This window comes from Homo sapiens, chromosome 11, assembly GCF_000001405.40.
Source record: "Homo sapiens chromosome 11, GRCh38.p14 Primary Assembly".
NCBI lineage: Eukaryota > Metazoa > Chordata > Mammalia > Primates > Hominidae > Homo > Homo sapiens.
In genome coordinates this window covers 66,943,574-66,959,726 of record NC_000011.10, presented here as the reverse complement: position 1 = coordinate 66,959,726, position 16,153 = coordinate 66,943,574, and the positions used below count along the sequence as shown (strand labels likewise).

The 16,153-nt window shown below is 49.5% G+C and overlaps 1 protein-coding gene across 7 annotated transcripts in view, besides 4 other annotated features; it reads left to right on the top strand.

Moving 5' to 3' along the window:
- Nucleotides 907-1,266: a silencer, noted in NCBI's record as "silent region_3608". NCBI's record gives its function as "represses an Ori minimal core promoter by ATAC-STARR-seq in GM12878 lymphoblastoid cells {active_cell/tissue: GM12878}" and the evidence as "EXISTENCE:reporter gene assay evidence [ECO:0000049][PMID:35858748]".
- Nucleotides 1,337-1,386: an enhancer, noted in NCBI's record as "active region_5062". NCBI's record gives its function as "activates an Ori minimal core promoter by ATAC-STARR-seq in GM12878 lymphoblastoid cells {active_cell/tissue: GM12878}" and the evidence as "EXISTENCE:reporter gene assay evidence [ECO:0000049][PMID:35858748]".
- PC (pyruvate carboxylase) overlaps nt 1,344-16,153 on the top strand; it is a 109,964-nt gene continuing 95,154 nt past the window's right edge. The window contains exons 1-4 of one of the 7 annotated variants that reach the window (XM_017017869.2): nt 1,344-1,405; nt 1,731-1,858; nt 5,291-5,478; nt 7,259-7,297. The gene's annotated coding sequence lies outside the window, so the exon portion shown is untranslated. Of the gene's footprint in view, nt 1,406-1,730; nt 1,988-5,290; nt 5,479-7,258; nt 7,298-16,153 lie in introns of all 7 variants that reach the window. The other 6 variants (NM_001439355.1, NM_001040716.2, NM_001439352.1 and 3 more) reach the window with 6 other exon arrangements.
- Nucleotides 1,587-1,686: a silencer, noted in NCBI's record as "silent region_3607". NCBI's record gives its function as "represses an Ori minimal core promoter by ATAC-STARR-seq in GM12878 lymphoblastoid cells {active_cell/tissue: GM12878}" and the evidence as "EXISTENCE:reporter gene assay evidence [ECO:0000049][PMID:35858748]".
- Nucleotides 2,550-2,929: an enhancer, noted in NCBI's record as "active region_5061". NCBI's record gives its function as "activates an Ori minimal core promoter by ATAC-STARR-seq in GM12878 lymphoblastoid cells {active_cell/tissue: GM12878}" and the evidence as "EXISTENCE:reporter gene assay evidence [ECO:0000049][PMID:35858748]".

Here is a 16,153-nt window from a genome sequence, read left to right as displayed (position 1 = left end):
TCCAAAAGAATAGCTGTTACTAGCATTAGGCATCAGCCATATCCACACGGAAAGGTAAAAACCTCAGGCATTTGGGAAGGGCTGCCCCCACAGATCATTCACAAGTAAATTCTTGCTGGCCTCCCATAAACAAGGACAGGTCAATTGTAGCTTCAGGTCTACAATCTAAGTCTAGCTCCTAAAAATTCCACAATAAGAATGTCATTACAAGCTTATTTTCCCAGGTGCAGAACAAAGTCAAAACTACCTACTCAGAGACATCTGCATAACTGACTCTTCCTTTACTCTCTTTTTCTCTTCAGACATTCATCTCATCTTACGTAGATTTACCGGGCATTAGCTAAAGTCCCATAGGAATGTAACTATTGTCCTAATCGCCTACTTGCCCTTCTTCCTACATGCCTTCCCCTCATTCCCCCTTTAAGGAAATGCATAAATACTAAACCTCCCGAAAACCTCTTCGGAAAAACAACCACGGATGTGTCTGTGGTTCGTGTTTTTCCCGAGCACGCCCTCAAACTGGATTAATAAGCCTCGATGACAGAGACTTATGCCTCAGTCACTTGTTCCACTTGTCAAAGCTTTCCTCTTTGACAAGTGTCTTGGGTCTTGTCAAGTGTCTTGTGTCTCAAACAAGGCTTCCAAACCCCCTAGGTCCTGAGTAGCTTCGCTCTGCAGATGACAAAACCGAGACTCAGAGGTTAAGTTGCTTGCCCAAGGTCACACAGACGTACTGTAGACCCCCATCATCATCTACGCAGCTGTTAAAGGACATAGTCATGTAACCCGTGTGGCACAAGCGCCTTCTCCTTCCTCCTGCCCTTCGCTAACGTTAGCTTTTCCTGCGACCTCTTCTCCGCTAGCCAGCGCGTATCTGCGTCTAGCCGGGATGCCTGAGCCCCAGTGCGAACTGTTGTGCTTGCAGCTTCGGGAGACACGTGCTACTCGGGTGAATGAATCGAACGTCCCCACCCCCGCCGACAGCCAATAACTGCGAGCCACAGCCCGGCCACTTCCGCCTATTGCGGGCGTCGGCTAGGGTCCGGCGGCCCACGTGAGGCTCCGGAGACAAGGGAGTAGGCGGTGGTGCGCCAGGGGCGGGCTCTCCCAGCCTCGCCACTTATCCAGGCGCTCGCCGGGGACGGGAGGGGCGGGGCTGACGTGGGGCGCCAAGGCTTAAACGTGACGGACAGGCGGGCACAGGGAGGAGTCCAGAGCCTAGGGGCGAGGAGTGACGGAGAACACTGCCCAATAACGGGAGGGGTTGGGCTGTCTGGGCCAATAGGAAGTCCGTAAGGCGGGGCCGGGACTGCAGCAAGTTCGGTTGCACGGAGACCGCAGCTGTTCTCTGTCAGTGGAGGCAGCAGCGGTAGAGGCGGCGGCGAGGACTGGCGACGGCGAGGAGGTGAGTGTCCGCCGCGCTCCGCACGGTCCTCTTCCCGCGGCGGGTCGGAGCGGGTGGACGTGCGCCGGCACCGCTGCGAGGGACGCTTATGTAAGGGTCGCGCGCGCAAAGGCGGCGCGGGCTCCGCGAGTGACGGCTGGAGGAGACAGCGACGGGCTGTGCGCGGTGCGCGACGCGACGCAGCGGACGGCGCCCCTCCCCCTCGCGCGGGGGCTCGGCCGGCTGGACCCGCCCCCGGACCCGCCCCCGGCTGCAGCCCCCGAGCGCCCCTCCGCAGCGTCCGCCTGCGGGCTGCCTCATTCTTGCTCTCGGGCCCATTTTGCAGATGGAGAAACTGACTAAAGCGCCTCGCGCGAGGTCCCTGAGGGTTCGAACCCAAGTCTGTCAGGATCGGGAGCCCAAGTTGTCCCCATCGTACTGGATGTGGCTCAGCTCTGCAGGAAGCCGCGGCGTGTAAGGCGAGGGCTTTCCTTGTTCCTTGCTCTCGCACTCCGCCTCCCGTAGGATCCTCTACTTTGTTTCAGACGGGGAAGCTCCAGGCGCCCAGACGCAGTGATTCGCCCAAGGCCGCTCATTCAGGAGGTGGGGCTGGGCTCAGCCCCTTATTTCTCCAGCTTTTAGTAGTTTACAAAGCGCATCAGAGTCGGAAGCCAAGTCCCTAGGTCCCTGGCAACTTTGAGATTCTTTTGTTTTCTTTTCTTTTTTAGACAGGGTCTTGCTGTCACCCACCCAGGCTGGAGTGCAGTGGCGCGATCTCGGCTCACTGCAGTCTCGACCTCCCGGGCTCAAGCGACCCTCCTGCCACAGTCCCCCAGTGCTGGGACTACAGGCGGGCGCCACCACGCCTAGCTAATTTTTGTATTTTTTGGTAGAGACGAGGTTCCGTCATGTTGCCCAGGCTGGTCTCGAACTCCTACGCTCAAGCGAGCGGCCTGCCCTGGCTTCCCAAAGTGCTGAGATTACAGGCGTGCCTCGTCTGAAATTCTAAAAAATCAGATTGTGTCTTTATTTTGTGAGAAGAGGTAGGCCTGGGCTCCTTACCCGTTCTCCAGCTGAGAAAACAGGCTCAGAGAAGTACCAACACTTGCTGATGACAACCAGAACCTCCAGAGTGCCTGCCATCTGCCTCCCTATTGCTCCCGTACCCACTGCCACCATCAGCCCTGGCTGGCCTCCCCCAAGGCACCCTTTCCCTGTATGTGATGCAAACACTTGTGCTGGGGGTGGATGTGCTCAGCATTTCTCTCACTTGCAGCTACAGCTTCCTGCCTGCAGGCTCTCCTTAACTGTTGAACTCTTAATCACATTCTTTTGCACACCTACAGTGTTCCTATCCCTACACTGGGCCGAGAGACAGCGTGGGCGATGAGGTCAATCCTTGTCCTGCAACTGCTGACAAACCCATTGGGGGAGAGAGAAAATAAACAAAACCTAAGCAGCAAGGCAGCCTGCTGCAGATGTTTGTAGAGAGCCTAGTGGGTGAGGTATTGGCCCTAGGAGGACATGGAAGAGGAAGTTCAGTAGAGGCCAGTAAATCACAGCAAACCACACACTAAAGCGAGAGAGAGGAGAAATGGCCTGGAAGGGGATGGGCTTGGGAAGGCTTCGTGGAGGAGGTGAGTTGTGGACCTCTTTTTGATGCCGCTGCAGTGGAGAAACAGTGATTGGATTTCAGCAGCTAGAAAGTTTTATTCTGGAGAGGTTTTGTTAAAGAGGTTTTTTTGTTTTTGTTTTTTGAGATGGAGTTTCGCTCTTGTCGCCCAGGCTGGAGTGCAGCGGTGTGATCTCAGCTCACCACAACCTCCGCCTCCCGAGTTCAAGCGATTCTCCTGCCTCAGCATCCTGAGTAGCTGGGATTACAGGCGCATGCCACCACACCTGGCTATTTTTTGTATTTTTAGTAGAGATGGGGTTTCACCATGTTGGCCAGGCTGGTCTTGAACTCCTGACCTCAGGTGATCCGCCCACCTCGACCTCCCAAAGTGCTGGGATTATAGGCATGAGCCATCATGCCTGGCCAGTTACAGAGGTTTCAAGCAATTAGAACTGGAAGAGGAAGGCTGAGGAAGGTGGAAGGAGAATGTGGGGGAAACAGCTTCACTGTTGGGTGTAAGAAACTTGATTGGTCACTGGGAAGAGGCCTCTACAGGAGATGTAACCAGGTGAGGGCACTAGGATTTGCTAAGGTGCAGGTAAGTCAGTGACTGGAAACCAAACTGAGGAAGCAAGATTAGATGCAAAGGTAGACGGGGCTGGGCGCGGTGCTCATGCCTGTAATCCCAGCACTTTGGGAGGCCGAGGCGGGTGGATCACCTGAGGTCAGGAGTTCGAGACCAGCCTGGCCAACATGGTGAAACCCCTTCTCTGCTAAAAATACAAAAACTAGCCAGGCCTGGTGGCGGGCACCTGTAATCCCAGCTACTCAGGAGGCTGAGGCAGGAGAATTGCTTGAACCTGGGAGTTGAAGGTTGCAGTAAGCTGAGATCACGCCCCTGCACTCCAGCCTGGGCGACAGCATGAAACTCCCTGTCAAAAAAAAAGAAAAAAAAAAGCCCAAAAGGCAGACAGGGCTCTGAGGGCCCAGCTGCAGGCCTGAGCTGCAGATTGTGTCCCATGGTGTTCTGGTAAGCTCCCTGAAAGCAGCCGTCATTTGTTTACTAATGGCTCCTTCACCCTGCTGTGCCCTGCTCTTAGGGAAGGGGCTTTGTTCACTACAGTTGCTCAGTATCTGCTTTTTGAATTAATTAGGCTGTCATCCAAAGTTTCCTCAGTTTACCCCAATGTACCCTCATGTGTCATAACGCCTTCTGTCTTTCTACTGAAGCCCGCTGCAGCCTGGCTGACTCGGTTCCCTGTGCCAGTCCTCACCTCCAAGATCTCCCCTAGAAGGTTGTCCCTGGTAGCCCACAGTAGGTCCCCCAGGCCCTTTTCCCTTTTTTGTCCTGCTCCTTGCTTTCACCCGGTCTCACTTCCAGTGCCCCAGGCACTGTGATAGGTACCTGTCCTCCCACCACCACTCATGGGGGCTCTGGGACCAGTGGCAGGGCAGGACCTCAGATTCACTACTCTTATCCCAAGCCACAGTTCCCTGTGTCCCTCTTCCCTCTGTCCTCTCAGTACCTAATAGTGCCAGGAACAAGTAGGTGCCTAATGAGTGTTTTGGGTGAATTAGTTGAAAAGGGGTCAAACTGGGAACCAGTGAGGAGAGAAGGGTGCAAGATGGGGAATACGGAAAGGAGTTACTTTTGGAGGTGGCAGGGATGGCCAGCACCAAGGTCAGTATGGCAGTAAATCTGGCAATCCACATTTCTCACTGGCACCTTCTGCATGGGCTGGAGGCCTCGTTCAGGTCAACGTTTTCTGTGTTTTTTTTTTTTTGGAGACGGAGTCTTGTTTTGTTGCCCAGGCTGCAGTACAGTGGCACCATCTTGGCTCACTGCAGCCTCTGCCTCCCGGATTCAAGTGATTCTCCTGCCTCAGCCTCCTGAGTAGCTGGGATTACAGGCACCAACCCTTTGCCTGGCTAATTTTTGTATCTTTAGTAGAGATGGGGTTTCACTATGTTGGGCAGGCTGGTCTCGAACTCCTGACTTCAGGTGATCACCTGCCTTGGCCTCCCAAAGTGCTGGGATTACAGGCGTGAGCCACTGCACCCGGCCTCTGGTCAACATTTTCATTGAGGATGAGCATGGCCTTCTCTTTGGCTGCCTCCCAATATCGTCCTGCCCCCATCTGAATGGGCCCCGTTTCTTGTATCCTGAAAGTTCCTGCTTTGGGGCAGGTTTCTCACCCAGAGGCCTCCTTCACAGCAGCAGGGCATTTTGCCTGCTCACTCTGAAACCTCACCTGGGCCTGACTGACCGTGCCTTCCTCTCTTTCTCTTAGCTGCCTTCTAGTCTCACCTGTGGACACTTTGCCAAAGGAGTCGGGCCTGACGGTGGAAGATGGGAAATGGCCAAAAGAATAAACCATTTCCTCTTACTTACCGAATGAAAAGCTTGCTTCATCTTGGCGTTCAAGACTCTCTAATATGATTCCACCTGTTGGGCTCTTTCTTCCATTTGCCTCCGCAGGTACCCTCTTCTGTGTCAGCCCCCATAGTGAGATTAGTCACTGTTACCCCAAACTCACTTCTCACGGTCCCCCCTCTGCTCTTGTTCTTGTTGACTTTGTTTTCTGCAGGGCCTTGCTTCTTATCTTGTCCTGTCAAAATTAAATTATTCTTCGAGACACAGGACTTTATTAAGGCTTGCCAAATCTATTCAGTTGGACTGGGCTCTCTTTTCATAACGATGATGATAAGTAATGATTTATTGTTATTAATAATAAAAGTCAACTACTGTGTGGTGGTGACGGCCTTGCTAAGCCCCTTACATACACATAATGTGATTATCACAACAATCCTATTACGAAGGTCCTATTAGATCCATCTCTTACAAATGACGGACTCTCATAGGTGAAACTCAGAGAGGTGAAATAACGCCCAGAGTAACACAGCCAGGCAGGCTAGGTGGCTCACTGCTGGAGTCCCTCTCACGTGCCATCCCATTTTTGCTTCTTTTAACCAGCCCCTAACAACTTGCTTTTTGGCACTTTGTGGGCAGGGCCTGAGTGTACATACAGTTCCTTGTGCAAGGCATGTGCTCAATAAATATTTTATTGACTTGAGTGCCCCAGACATTGAATTTCAGCCTTGACGTTATCTGTCAAGGCAGCTGGTTTTCTCTGAACAGGGATTTGAGCTTGCTGGCCTGTTTTTCCATTTTGCTGTTCATTGACTAGTGGCTAGGGTAGGTGTGGCTTTTTCGGAAATAAGCAGTCAATAAAACTCCGAAAAGTGATTACACAATACCAACTGTGGGCTCCCATGGGCATAAACACGAGGTGGGCTCTTACTTATGGCAGAGAGGGGTCTCTGCAGGAAAGGATTTGAGGAAATAGCCAGGAAATAGAGTACACATCTCAGGTCACGTAAGACAGCTCCTTATTAGTTTCAAGTTGTGGAGTGAGAGAAGAACCAGACTCCCAGTATTCAGAGGGAGCTCCTGAAGGATTAGAGACAGCTCTGCGGAGATGCAGAGAAAGCGGGCCTGAGGCTGGACGGAGTGGGCAGGAAGAGAAAGCACTTCAGATAAAACGAACTGTTTCTAGAACTTCTTGTTCATGTGTAGTGGGTGGCAGAAAAGGGTTTTACTTAAGCGCTTCCCACCTAGCCTGTCGGTTAACGTCCCAGTGTGTCCTCTGTGCCAGGCATGGTGCCACTGCTGTGCGTGTGCTGCCTCATTGGGTATTCCCTAGTACGCTGTGAGATGGGCATTGTTATTATTCCCATTTTACAGATGAGGAAACAGACTTTGAGTGATTACAGAGCGGCTGTCAGAGTAACAAGAGGTGCAGTCCAGGCAGTGGGACAGCACAGCTGGCGCTTCCAGCTCTGTACCCTCCTGGTGCCCTCAGTGGAAGCAAAGAAACAGTTCTTGGCCGGGTGCGGTGGCTCACACCTGTAATCCCAGCACTTTGGGAGGCCGAGGTGGGTGGATCACCTGAGGTCGGGAGTTCGAGACCAGCCTGACCAACATGGAGAAACCCCCATCTCTACTAAAAATACCAAATTAGCTGGGCGTGGTGGCACATGCCTGTAATCCCAACTACCTCAGGAGGCTGAGGCAGGAGAATCGCTTGAATCCGGGAAGCAGAGGTTGCAGTGAGCCGGGATTGCGCCATTGCACTCCAGCCCGGGTAACAAGACTGAAAAAGTTCTCTGGGTTCTAAAATCGGTGTTCTTGCCACTCCTGTTTTCTCTGGGAAGTTCCTGGAGCAATGAGGGTAATGCTGTTTTTTCTTTTGCTTTAGATAGTGTCTGCCTTCTGGAGAGCTGACCAAACACTAAGGGTAAGTCCTGTGCCTGAATCCAGGCTGGCGGGATGCATGGGGGTCTTCACCAGGAGCAGCTGTGGATGCCAGCAGTTTGGCATGTCAGGTCTTAAGCTCAATCAATAAAAAAAGGCTGCGCTCTGATTTGTGGATAATATCCGTTTAAGCAGTCTTGTCTGTTTCCAGTTGCTCCTGATTTTTACAGGAAAGTGACATCTGGCTCCCTGCTGGCCCCATTTGGCAGCTGGCCAGCCTCAGCAGAAGGCCCTGGTTCTGGAAGGGTATGGTCAGCTTGGGAAGCTGGGCAGGAAGAATCCCTGGGGCTGGGCCGTCTCTGAGAAGACCCCTTGAGTCAGCATGGAGAGCAGGCAGCTGTGGTGTGAGGTGGTTCTGCCAGCTGGTTGTAAAGTCACTTGACACGGGTTTCCAGAGGGTGACGCTCAACCTTTGCCAGTCACGGTAACAACGGGGAAAAAGGGACCTGCCCTTCTTCCCCTGCACATTTTACAGGCATGTGCCACCACACCTGGCTAAGTTTTTTTTTTTCTTTTTTTTTTTTGAGACGGAGTCTTGCTCTGTTGCCAGGCTGGAGTGCAGTGGCGCAAGCTCGGCTTACTGCAACCTCTGCCTCCTGGGTTCAAGCAATTCTCCTGCCTCAGCCTCCCGAGTAGCTGGGACTACAGGTGTGTGCTGCCATGCCCAGCTAATTTTTGTATTTTTAGTAGAGACGGGGTTTTACCATGTTGGCCAGGATGGTCTCAATCTCTTGATCTTGTGATCCACCCACCTCAGCCCCTCAAAGTGCTGGGATTACAGGCATGAACCACTGTGCCCGGCCTAATTTTTGTATTTTTAGTAGAGATGGGATTTTACCATGTTGGTCAGGCTGGTCTCGAACTCCTGACCTCAGGTGATCCGCCCTCTTCGGCCTCCCCAGATGCTGGGATTACAGGTGTGAGCCAGCGCGTCCGGCCTCTACTGCTTTTACAGTTCCCCCAACATGGATTTCCATGGTGGCAGGTGCCTGGGAGATTCAGTGGCCTCCCCTCAGCCTAAATTCCACAGCCCTCCCGCCGGTCCCCTGCTAGTCCAGTCCCCTCTCCCCCTGCTGGTCTGCAGGAGCAGCCGAGCCAGGGAACCAGGTGCTCTCCCAGCATTTGTGACAACAATAATGCTCTTCCCTTCAGGCCCGCTGTGGCCTTGGGGACTTTGTGGCTCAGGGACAACTTTCTCCAGAGCTCATATCCAGTGCTGAGTGGGGATTCCTTGGTATAGGAGTTTTTCTCGGTTTTCCACCCATTATGTGGGGGTTTTCCTCTGACGACCCTTCATGACGCAGGAGCTGGTTTCCTGTGTGAGATTTCCCGCAGTCCTCCCTTGGAGCTAGGTCTTGGGCCAGCAGGTGCCGTCTGCGTGCTACCATTGAGTAAGGGCAATGGGCTCATGGTGGGAATGGCCGTAACGTGGAAGAACTCCACCCTCCACGAGTTTCACCCCCTTGTTCTCTCTCTGCTTGCTCTGTCCTCTTATTCTTGGCTGCTAGAGTTGGATGTTATTTCTCTTACTTGCATCCCTACAATGAGAGGTGGGCATGTTGGGGAAGGTTCCCCCCAAACCACTTGTCTTATGGAACTGAAGAAACTGAAGCCTAGAGAAGGCTGCTTAGCAGAATCCAAGATGCTGATCCCATTGTTTATTCTTCTTTTAAAATTGCCATATTTTATTGATGTCTTCCCTTAGATCCATCAATAGAGAGGGAAAATCAGTCACCAAGAAGGGACCTCTTCTTCCAGGTTATGTAATTTGTCAAAGCTTGTTTGGCTCCTCAGTTCCCAAGGCACTGCTGACTTGAGCTTTGCCTAGGGACTAAGGCTCTGTAGTCTAAGCTTGTCACCCTCCCCTCCTCTTCAGCTTTCTCCTGGGGGGACATGGATGTGGCCCTTTGTTGTGTTGTTAAGTGTTATGCCTGAAGGCGTTACCCCAGGTACTCCCAGCACTACCTCGGGTTTCCTACTCTTGTGTTACCTCCTTGTCCTGATATGCCTCGAGGCCAGAGAAAGAGGTGGGGCCGGGAGGGCACGGGACAGCTGGGAGTACATTTCCACTGCCTGTGTGTGGAAGGGCCTGACTGCTTCTGTGGCAGCTCCTTTCCTGATGACATCCACCATGACATCACAACGAGGCTTTGGGAAAATTCCACGACCTGGCCATGCTGAGTCATACTTAGTCTCTGGGGATGTGTGTCACCTTTCTCTTGTCTGTCACTGAGTGCTGCAGTTACTATGAAGTGACACATGCTGCCCATTTATTACGTTTGCACATCACTTTATGCTGCTTTGGAGCCTCTTCTCATGTACATGCTGTGTATCAATGTGAAATGTATTAATATTAAATCATTAATAATAAGTATATTATTTATTCTGGAAAATATTTGTCTCTTGCAATGTGTGAGGAACCAGAGGTTCAGAGAGACTAGAGACTAAGCGACTTGGTGAGTTTCGGGTGACTGGTGCGTGGCATGTCTGAGGGAGGTTTGGATGCCACACCCACTCCTACCCCTGGATTTTTATGTAATGCAAAGATTATTCAGAAATTACTTTGGTCGAAAACAATTGATTTTCAATTTGTTAAAATTATGAATTCAGAAACCTAGTTATTTTAAGGGCCAGTCTTTTAAGTTTAGCTTATAAGTGTAGCCTATAAATCTTTCTGATCTATTTACGATTCTAGGACATTTTAACAGTCACTTTCAGGGGGCTTTTATTTATTTATTTTTTTTGCGATGGAGTCTCGCTCTGTCGCGATCTCGGCTCACTGCAACCTCCGCCTCCTGGTTCAAGCGATTCTTCTGCCTCAGCCTCCTGAGTAGCTGGGATTACAGGCGCCCGCCACCATGCTGGCTAATTTGTATTTTTAGTAGAGGCGGGGTTTCTTCATGTTGGTCAGGCTGGTCTCGAACTCCTGACTCAAGTGATCTGCCCGCCTCGGCCTCCCAAAGTGCTGGGATTACAGGCGTGAGCCGCCGCCCCGGCCTTAGGGGGCTTTTTGATTAATGCTTGGTCCCATTTGCAAATTTGATGAAACTTCTGAAATGTTTCAATTGAACTTATAAATCATATTCAACTTCAGTTAACTATTTTAATAATTCTTCTGGCCGGGCATGGTGGGTGGCTCACGCCTGTAATCCTAGCACTTTGGGAGGCCAAGGCGGGCAGATCACGAGGTCAAGAGATTGAGACCATCCTGGCCAACATGGTGAAACCCTGTCGCTACTAAAAATACAAAAATTAGCTGGGTGTGGTGGTCACGCGCCTGTAATCCCAGCTACTTGGGAGGCTGAGGCAGGAGAATCGCTTGAACCCGGGAGGCGGAGGTTGCAGTGAGCTGAGATTATGCCACTGCACTCCAGCCTGGCGACACAGCAAGACTCCATCTCAAAAAAATAATAATAATAATAAATAATAATAATAATTCTTCCATTTTTCTGATTAAAAAAACCCTCTAATACCTAAATGACTCTTGTAAATCTAATAAATGAAGCTGAATATTACACTTTTCTTAAACTTTCCTATACCGTTTTATGTTTTGTTTGTTTATTTTTGTTTATTTTGAGACGGTCTGATTCTGTCACTCAGGCTGGAGTACAGTGGCACAGTCTCAGCTCACTGCAACCTCTACCTCCTAGGCTCAGGTGATCTTCCCTTTTCAGACTCCTGAGTAGCTGGGACTACAGGTTCAAGCCACCACACCCGGCTAATTTTTGTACTTTTTGTGGAGACGGGGTTTCACCACATTGCCCAGGCTCATCTCGAACTCCTGAGCTCAAGCAATCAGCCCGCCTTGGCCTCCCAAAGTGCTGGGATTACAGGCGTGATACATTTTAGTTTTTACAATAGCTTTATTGGAGTATTACTGAGATATAATAAGTTGCACATATTTAAAGTATACAGTTTAGTAAGTTTTAACATATGTGTACCCTTGTGAAACCATCACTGCAGTCCAGAGAGTGAACACATTCATCACCTTTGGAATTCCTCCCTCTGCCTCCTCACTCTTCAGGAAACCATGGAACTGCTTTCTGTTACTATAGGTTAGTTTCCATTTTCTGGAATTTCACATAAATTGACTCATACAGTATATATTCTTTTTTCTCTGCCTTCTTTTACTCAGCATAATTATGTTGAGATATGTCCATGTTGTTGCTTGTATTGATAGTTCATTTCCTTCTTTTTTTTTTTTTTAAGACAGAGTCTTGCTCTGTCACCCAAGCTGGAATATAGCGGCGTGATCATAGCTCACTGCAGCCTTGATCTTCTGGGCTCAAGTGATCTCCCATCTCACTGAGTAGCTGGAACTACAGGTGTGTGCCACTACGCCTGGCATATCTATCTATCTATCTATCTATCTATCTATCTATCTATCTATCTATCTATCTTTAGTAGAGATGAGATCTCGGTATGTTGCTTAGGCTTTTTTTTTTTTTTTGAGACGGAATCTCACTCTGTCGCCCAGGCTGGAGTGCAGTGGCATGATCTCGGCTCACTGCAACCTCTGCCTCCCGGGTTCAAGCGATTCTTCTGCCTTAGCCTCCCAAGTAGCTGGGACTAGAGGCGCCCACCACCACGCCCAGCTAATTTTTGTATTTTTAGTAGAGAGGGGGTTTCACCATGTTGGCCAGGCTGGTCTCGACTCCTGACCTCAAATGATCCACCCCACCTCAGCCTCGAAAAGTGTTGGGATTACCTGCGTGAGCTACCGCACCTGGCCCTTAGGCTTGTCTTGAACTCCTGAACTCAAGCAGTCCTTCCCACTTTCCACCTTGGCCTCCCAAAGTGCTGGGGTTACAGGCATGAGCCACTGTTCCTGGTCAGTTCTTTTTTTTTTTTTGAGACTGAGTCTTGCTCTGTCGCACAGGCTGGAGTGCAGTGGCACGATCTCGGCTCACTGCAAGCTCCGCCTCAACCTCCCGAGTAGCTGGGACTACAGGCACCCACCACCACACCCAGCTAATTTTGTTTTTGTATTTTTAGTAGAGACGGGGTTTCACTGTGTTAGCCAGAATGGTCTTGATCTCCTGACCTTGTGATCCTCCCGCCTCGGCCTCCCAAAGTGCTGGAATTACAGGCATGAGCCACCGCACCCAGCTTTTTTTTTTTGCTGATTTCATTATATGGGTATTACAGTTTATCCAGTCACCTTTGTTGGTCATCTCAGGTGCTTCTACTTTTTGGCATCTACAAATAAAGCTACTGTGAACATTTGTGTATAAGTCTTTGTGTGAACATATATTTCCTTTTCTCTTGGGTAAATGCCTAGGAGTGGAGTGGCTGGATCCTGTGGTAGCTGTATGTATGTTTAACTTGAACTGCCAAATTTTCTGACGTGGTTGTAGTATTTTACATTCCTACCAGCTGTGTATGAGAGTTCCAGTTTCTCTTCATCCTCCCCAACACTGGCTATGGTTAGTCTTTTAAATTTTAGCCATTTAAAAAGGTATATGGTGGTATCTCATGGTTTCAATTTGAATTTTCCTAATGATAATGATGTTGAGCATCTTGTCATGTGTTTGTCATCTGCCAGTACTGATTTTAAACTTAGTAAAATTTCTATGTAAAATCACACGTCTAAACTAACTACTCAGTTACATGTTTTTTGTTTTGAGACAGGGTCTTGCTCTGTGCCCCAGGCTGGCTTGCACTGATGCGATCGTGGCTCACTGCAGCCTCGACCTCCCATGCTCAAGCGATCCTCCCATCTCAGCCTCTTGAGTAGCTGGGACCATGGCATGCACGTCATGCCTGGCTGATTTAAAAAAAATTTTTTTTTTGAGATGGAGTCTCACTCTGTTGCCCAGGCTGGAATGCGGTTTCATGATCTTGGCCTACTTGCAACCTCCGCCTGCTGGGTTCAAGCAATTCTTCTGCCTCAGCCTCCCGAGTAGCTGGGATTACAGGCGTGGCCCAGCTAATTTTTGTATTTTTAGTAGAGACGGGGTTTCACCATATTGGCCAGGCTGATCTCGAACTCCCGACCTTGTGATCTGCCCGCCTTGGTCTCCCAAAGTGCTGGGATTACAGGCATGAGCCACTGCACCTGGCCTTTTAAAAAATTTTCTTTGTAGAGGTGGGATTTCACTGTGTTGCCAGGGCTGGTCTCAAACTGCTATCATGCGATCCACCTGCCTCAGCCTCCCAAAATCATGTGGTTACAGATGTGAGTCACCACGCCTGGCCTCAGTTACATGTTTTAATTGGAATCTCAAGACTGATTTGTTATTCTAAACAGACCATATTCTCTTAGAGTACATAAAGTAACAGACAACACACAGATTTCTTTTTTTTTTTTTTTTTTTTTTGAGACGGAGTCTCGCTCTGTCGCCCAGGCCGGACTGCGGACTGCAGTGGCGCAATCTTGGCTCACTGCAAGCTTCGCTTCCCGGGTTCACGCCATTCTCCTGCCTCAGCCTCCCGAGTAGCTGGGACTACAGGCGCCCGCCACCGCGCCCTGCTAATTTTTTGTATTTTTAGTAGAGACGGGGTTTCACCTTGTTAGCCAGGATGGTCTCGATCTCCTGACCTCATGATCCACCCGCCTCGGCCTCCCAAAGTGCTGGGATTACAGGCGTGAGCCACCGCGCCCGGCCAGATTTCTTAACACAAAAATATAAATACTATGGTTTTTATTTTCCTAGCCTTGTCTATATTTAATCTAATATTTTCCTGGAATTAGAGAAGCTTACCTAATAAGGAATTAAATACATGATTTTAAAGTATAGTAAATTATTTTTCTAATTAACTTTTGGCCTTTCTTTCTCAACTGGATGACATTTTCTTTATAATTAAAGAGACCCCTGGCAGGGATGAAACTGGACTTTGAATCTAACTGCTAAGCAGAGCCTGCTCCACTGCCACCATTTTGCCTCCAAATGGGGATGGTCTCACAGCCCATGTGCCTCAAATAGAAGTATCACATTACTAATGTCTTCCTCTTCTCATCTCATGTAACTCTGCAGTTCCGACCCGCCCCCCCAAACCATTTGAATTCAGTTAATCTATTTAAGGCTTCCTTTTTGTTATGCAGTATGGCCACAAAAATAGGTGGAACTAAATACAAAATAGATACAGTTTAGATTCTTTAGATTCTCTGTATCTCCCAAGGCTTTCTCTGACCAAGGACTAGTAAAATCATGTCTGACCCACCAGGGCTAGAATTTGAGTCCCAGTCTTCTGAGTCCATGTCTGGCATTTCCTTCCATCTCTTAAACCTTTTCAAATAAAGAGAAAGAGGGTGGTACTTAAGAGTTCTTACTTTCTGATCACGCCTGGTTACCAATAAATTATAGCATCTGGAACCAGTGCCACCTTTTTCATGTTCTTCAGTTCACGCCCCTGGAAATGGTGAGAATTTTGGCCTCTCCCTAACCTCCCGGTGGAGAGCTACCAATCTTTGGAGAGCCCATTGCCATCAAATTCTTGTTAGAAATCTGCGTCTTGGATGATAACTAGATGCAGAATTGCATTCCTGTCCTGGTCACTGGGTATGGCCCCAGGAAGCTTGTAGGTGGTGAGTGGACCTGGTTGAGAATTATTAATGCAGTTTGACCTCTCCGTTGATGTCTGATGCACATGTGGCCCAATGTGAGTAAGAGCAGAGGTTTGTAGAGTGACAAGAAAAGGACATTTGGGGGAGAAATTGGCAGGAGGCTGACTTAGGTTTTTGCGCTGCAAGAGTTTTTCGTCCCCCATTTTAAAAAATTGTGGCAAAATACATTGTCTTCATCCCTTTGGGCTGCTATAACAAAATAACCTTATTCTAGGTAATTTATAAACAATAGAAATTTATTTATTTATTATTTTTATTTATTTATTTTTTGAGACAGTCTTGCTGTGTCACCCAGGATGGATGCAGTGGTGCAATCTCGGCTCACTGCAACCCCTGCCTCCCAGGTTCAAGCGATTCTCCTGCCTCAGACTCCTGAGTAGCTGGGATTATAGGTGTGTGCCACCATGCCCAACTAATTTTTGTACTCTTAGTAGAGATGGGGTTTCACCATGTTGGGCAGGCTGGTCTCGAACTCCTGACCTCAAGTGATCCGCCTGCCTTGGCCTCCCAAAGTGCTGGGATTACAGGTGTGAGCCATTGCGGCCGGCCTGAAGTTGTTTTTTCTGAGACGGAGTCTTGCTCTGTCACCCAGGCTGGAGTGCAGTGGTGCAATCTCGGCTCACTGCAAGCTTCTCCTCCTGAGTTCATGCCATTCTCTTGCCTCAGCCTCCCAAGTAGCTGGGACTACAGGCGCCCACCATCACACCCGGCTAATTTTTTGTATTTTTATTGGAGACGGAGTTTCACCGTGTTAGCCAGGATGGTCTCGATCTCCTGACCTTGTGTTCCGCCCGCCTCGGGCTCCCAAAGTGCTGGGATTACAGGCGTGAGCCACTGTGCCCGGCCTTTTGTTCTTTTCTTTTTTTTTTTTTTTTGAGACAGTTTCGCTATTATCACTCAGGCTGGAGGGCAGTGGCTCACTGCAACCTCTGTCTCCTGGGTTCAAGAGATTCTCTGCCTCAGCCTCTCTATTAGCTGGGAATACACGCGCCTGCCACGACGCCCGGCTAATTTTTGCATTTTTTAGTAGAAACGGGGTTTCACCATGTTGAGAAATTTCTTTTTTTTTTTTTTTTTTTTTTTTTTTTTTGAGCCGGAGTCTTGCTCTATAGCCCAGGCTGGAGAGCAGTGGCGCGATCTCTGCTCACCACAAGCTCCGCTGCTTCCCGGGTTCATGCCATTCTCCTGCCTCAGCCTCCCAAGTAGCTGGGGGACTACAGGCGCCTGCCACCACGCCCGGCAAATTTTTTTTTTTTGCATTTTTAGTAGAGA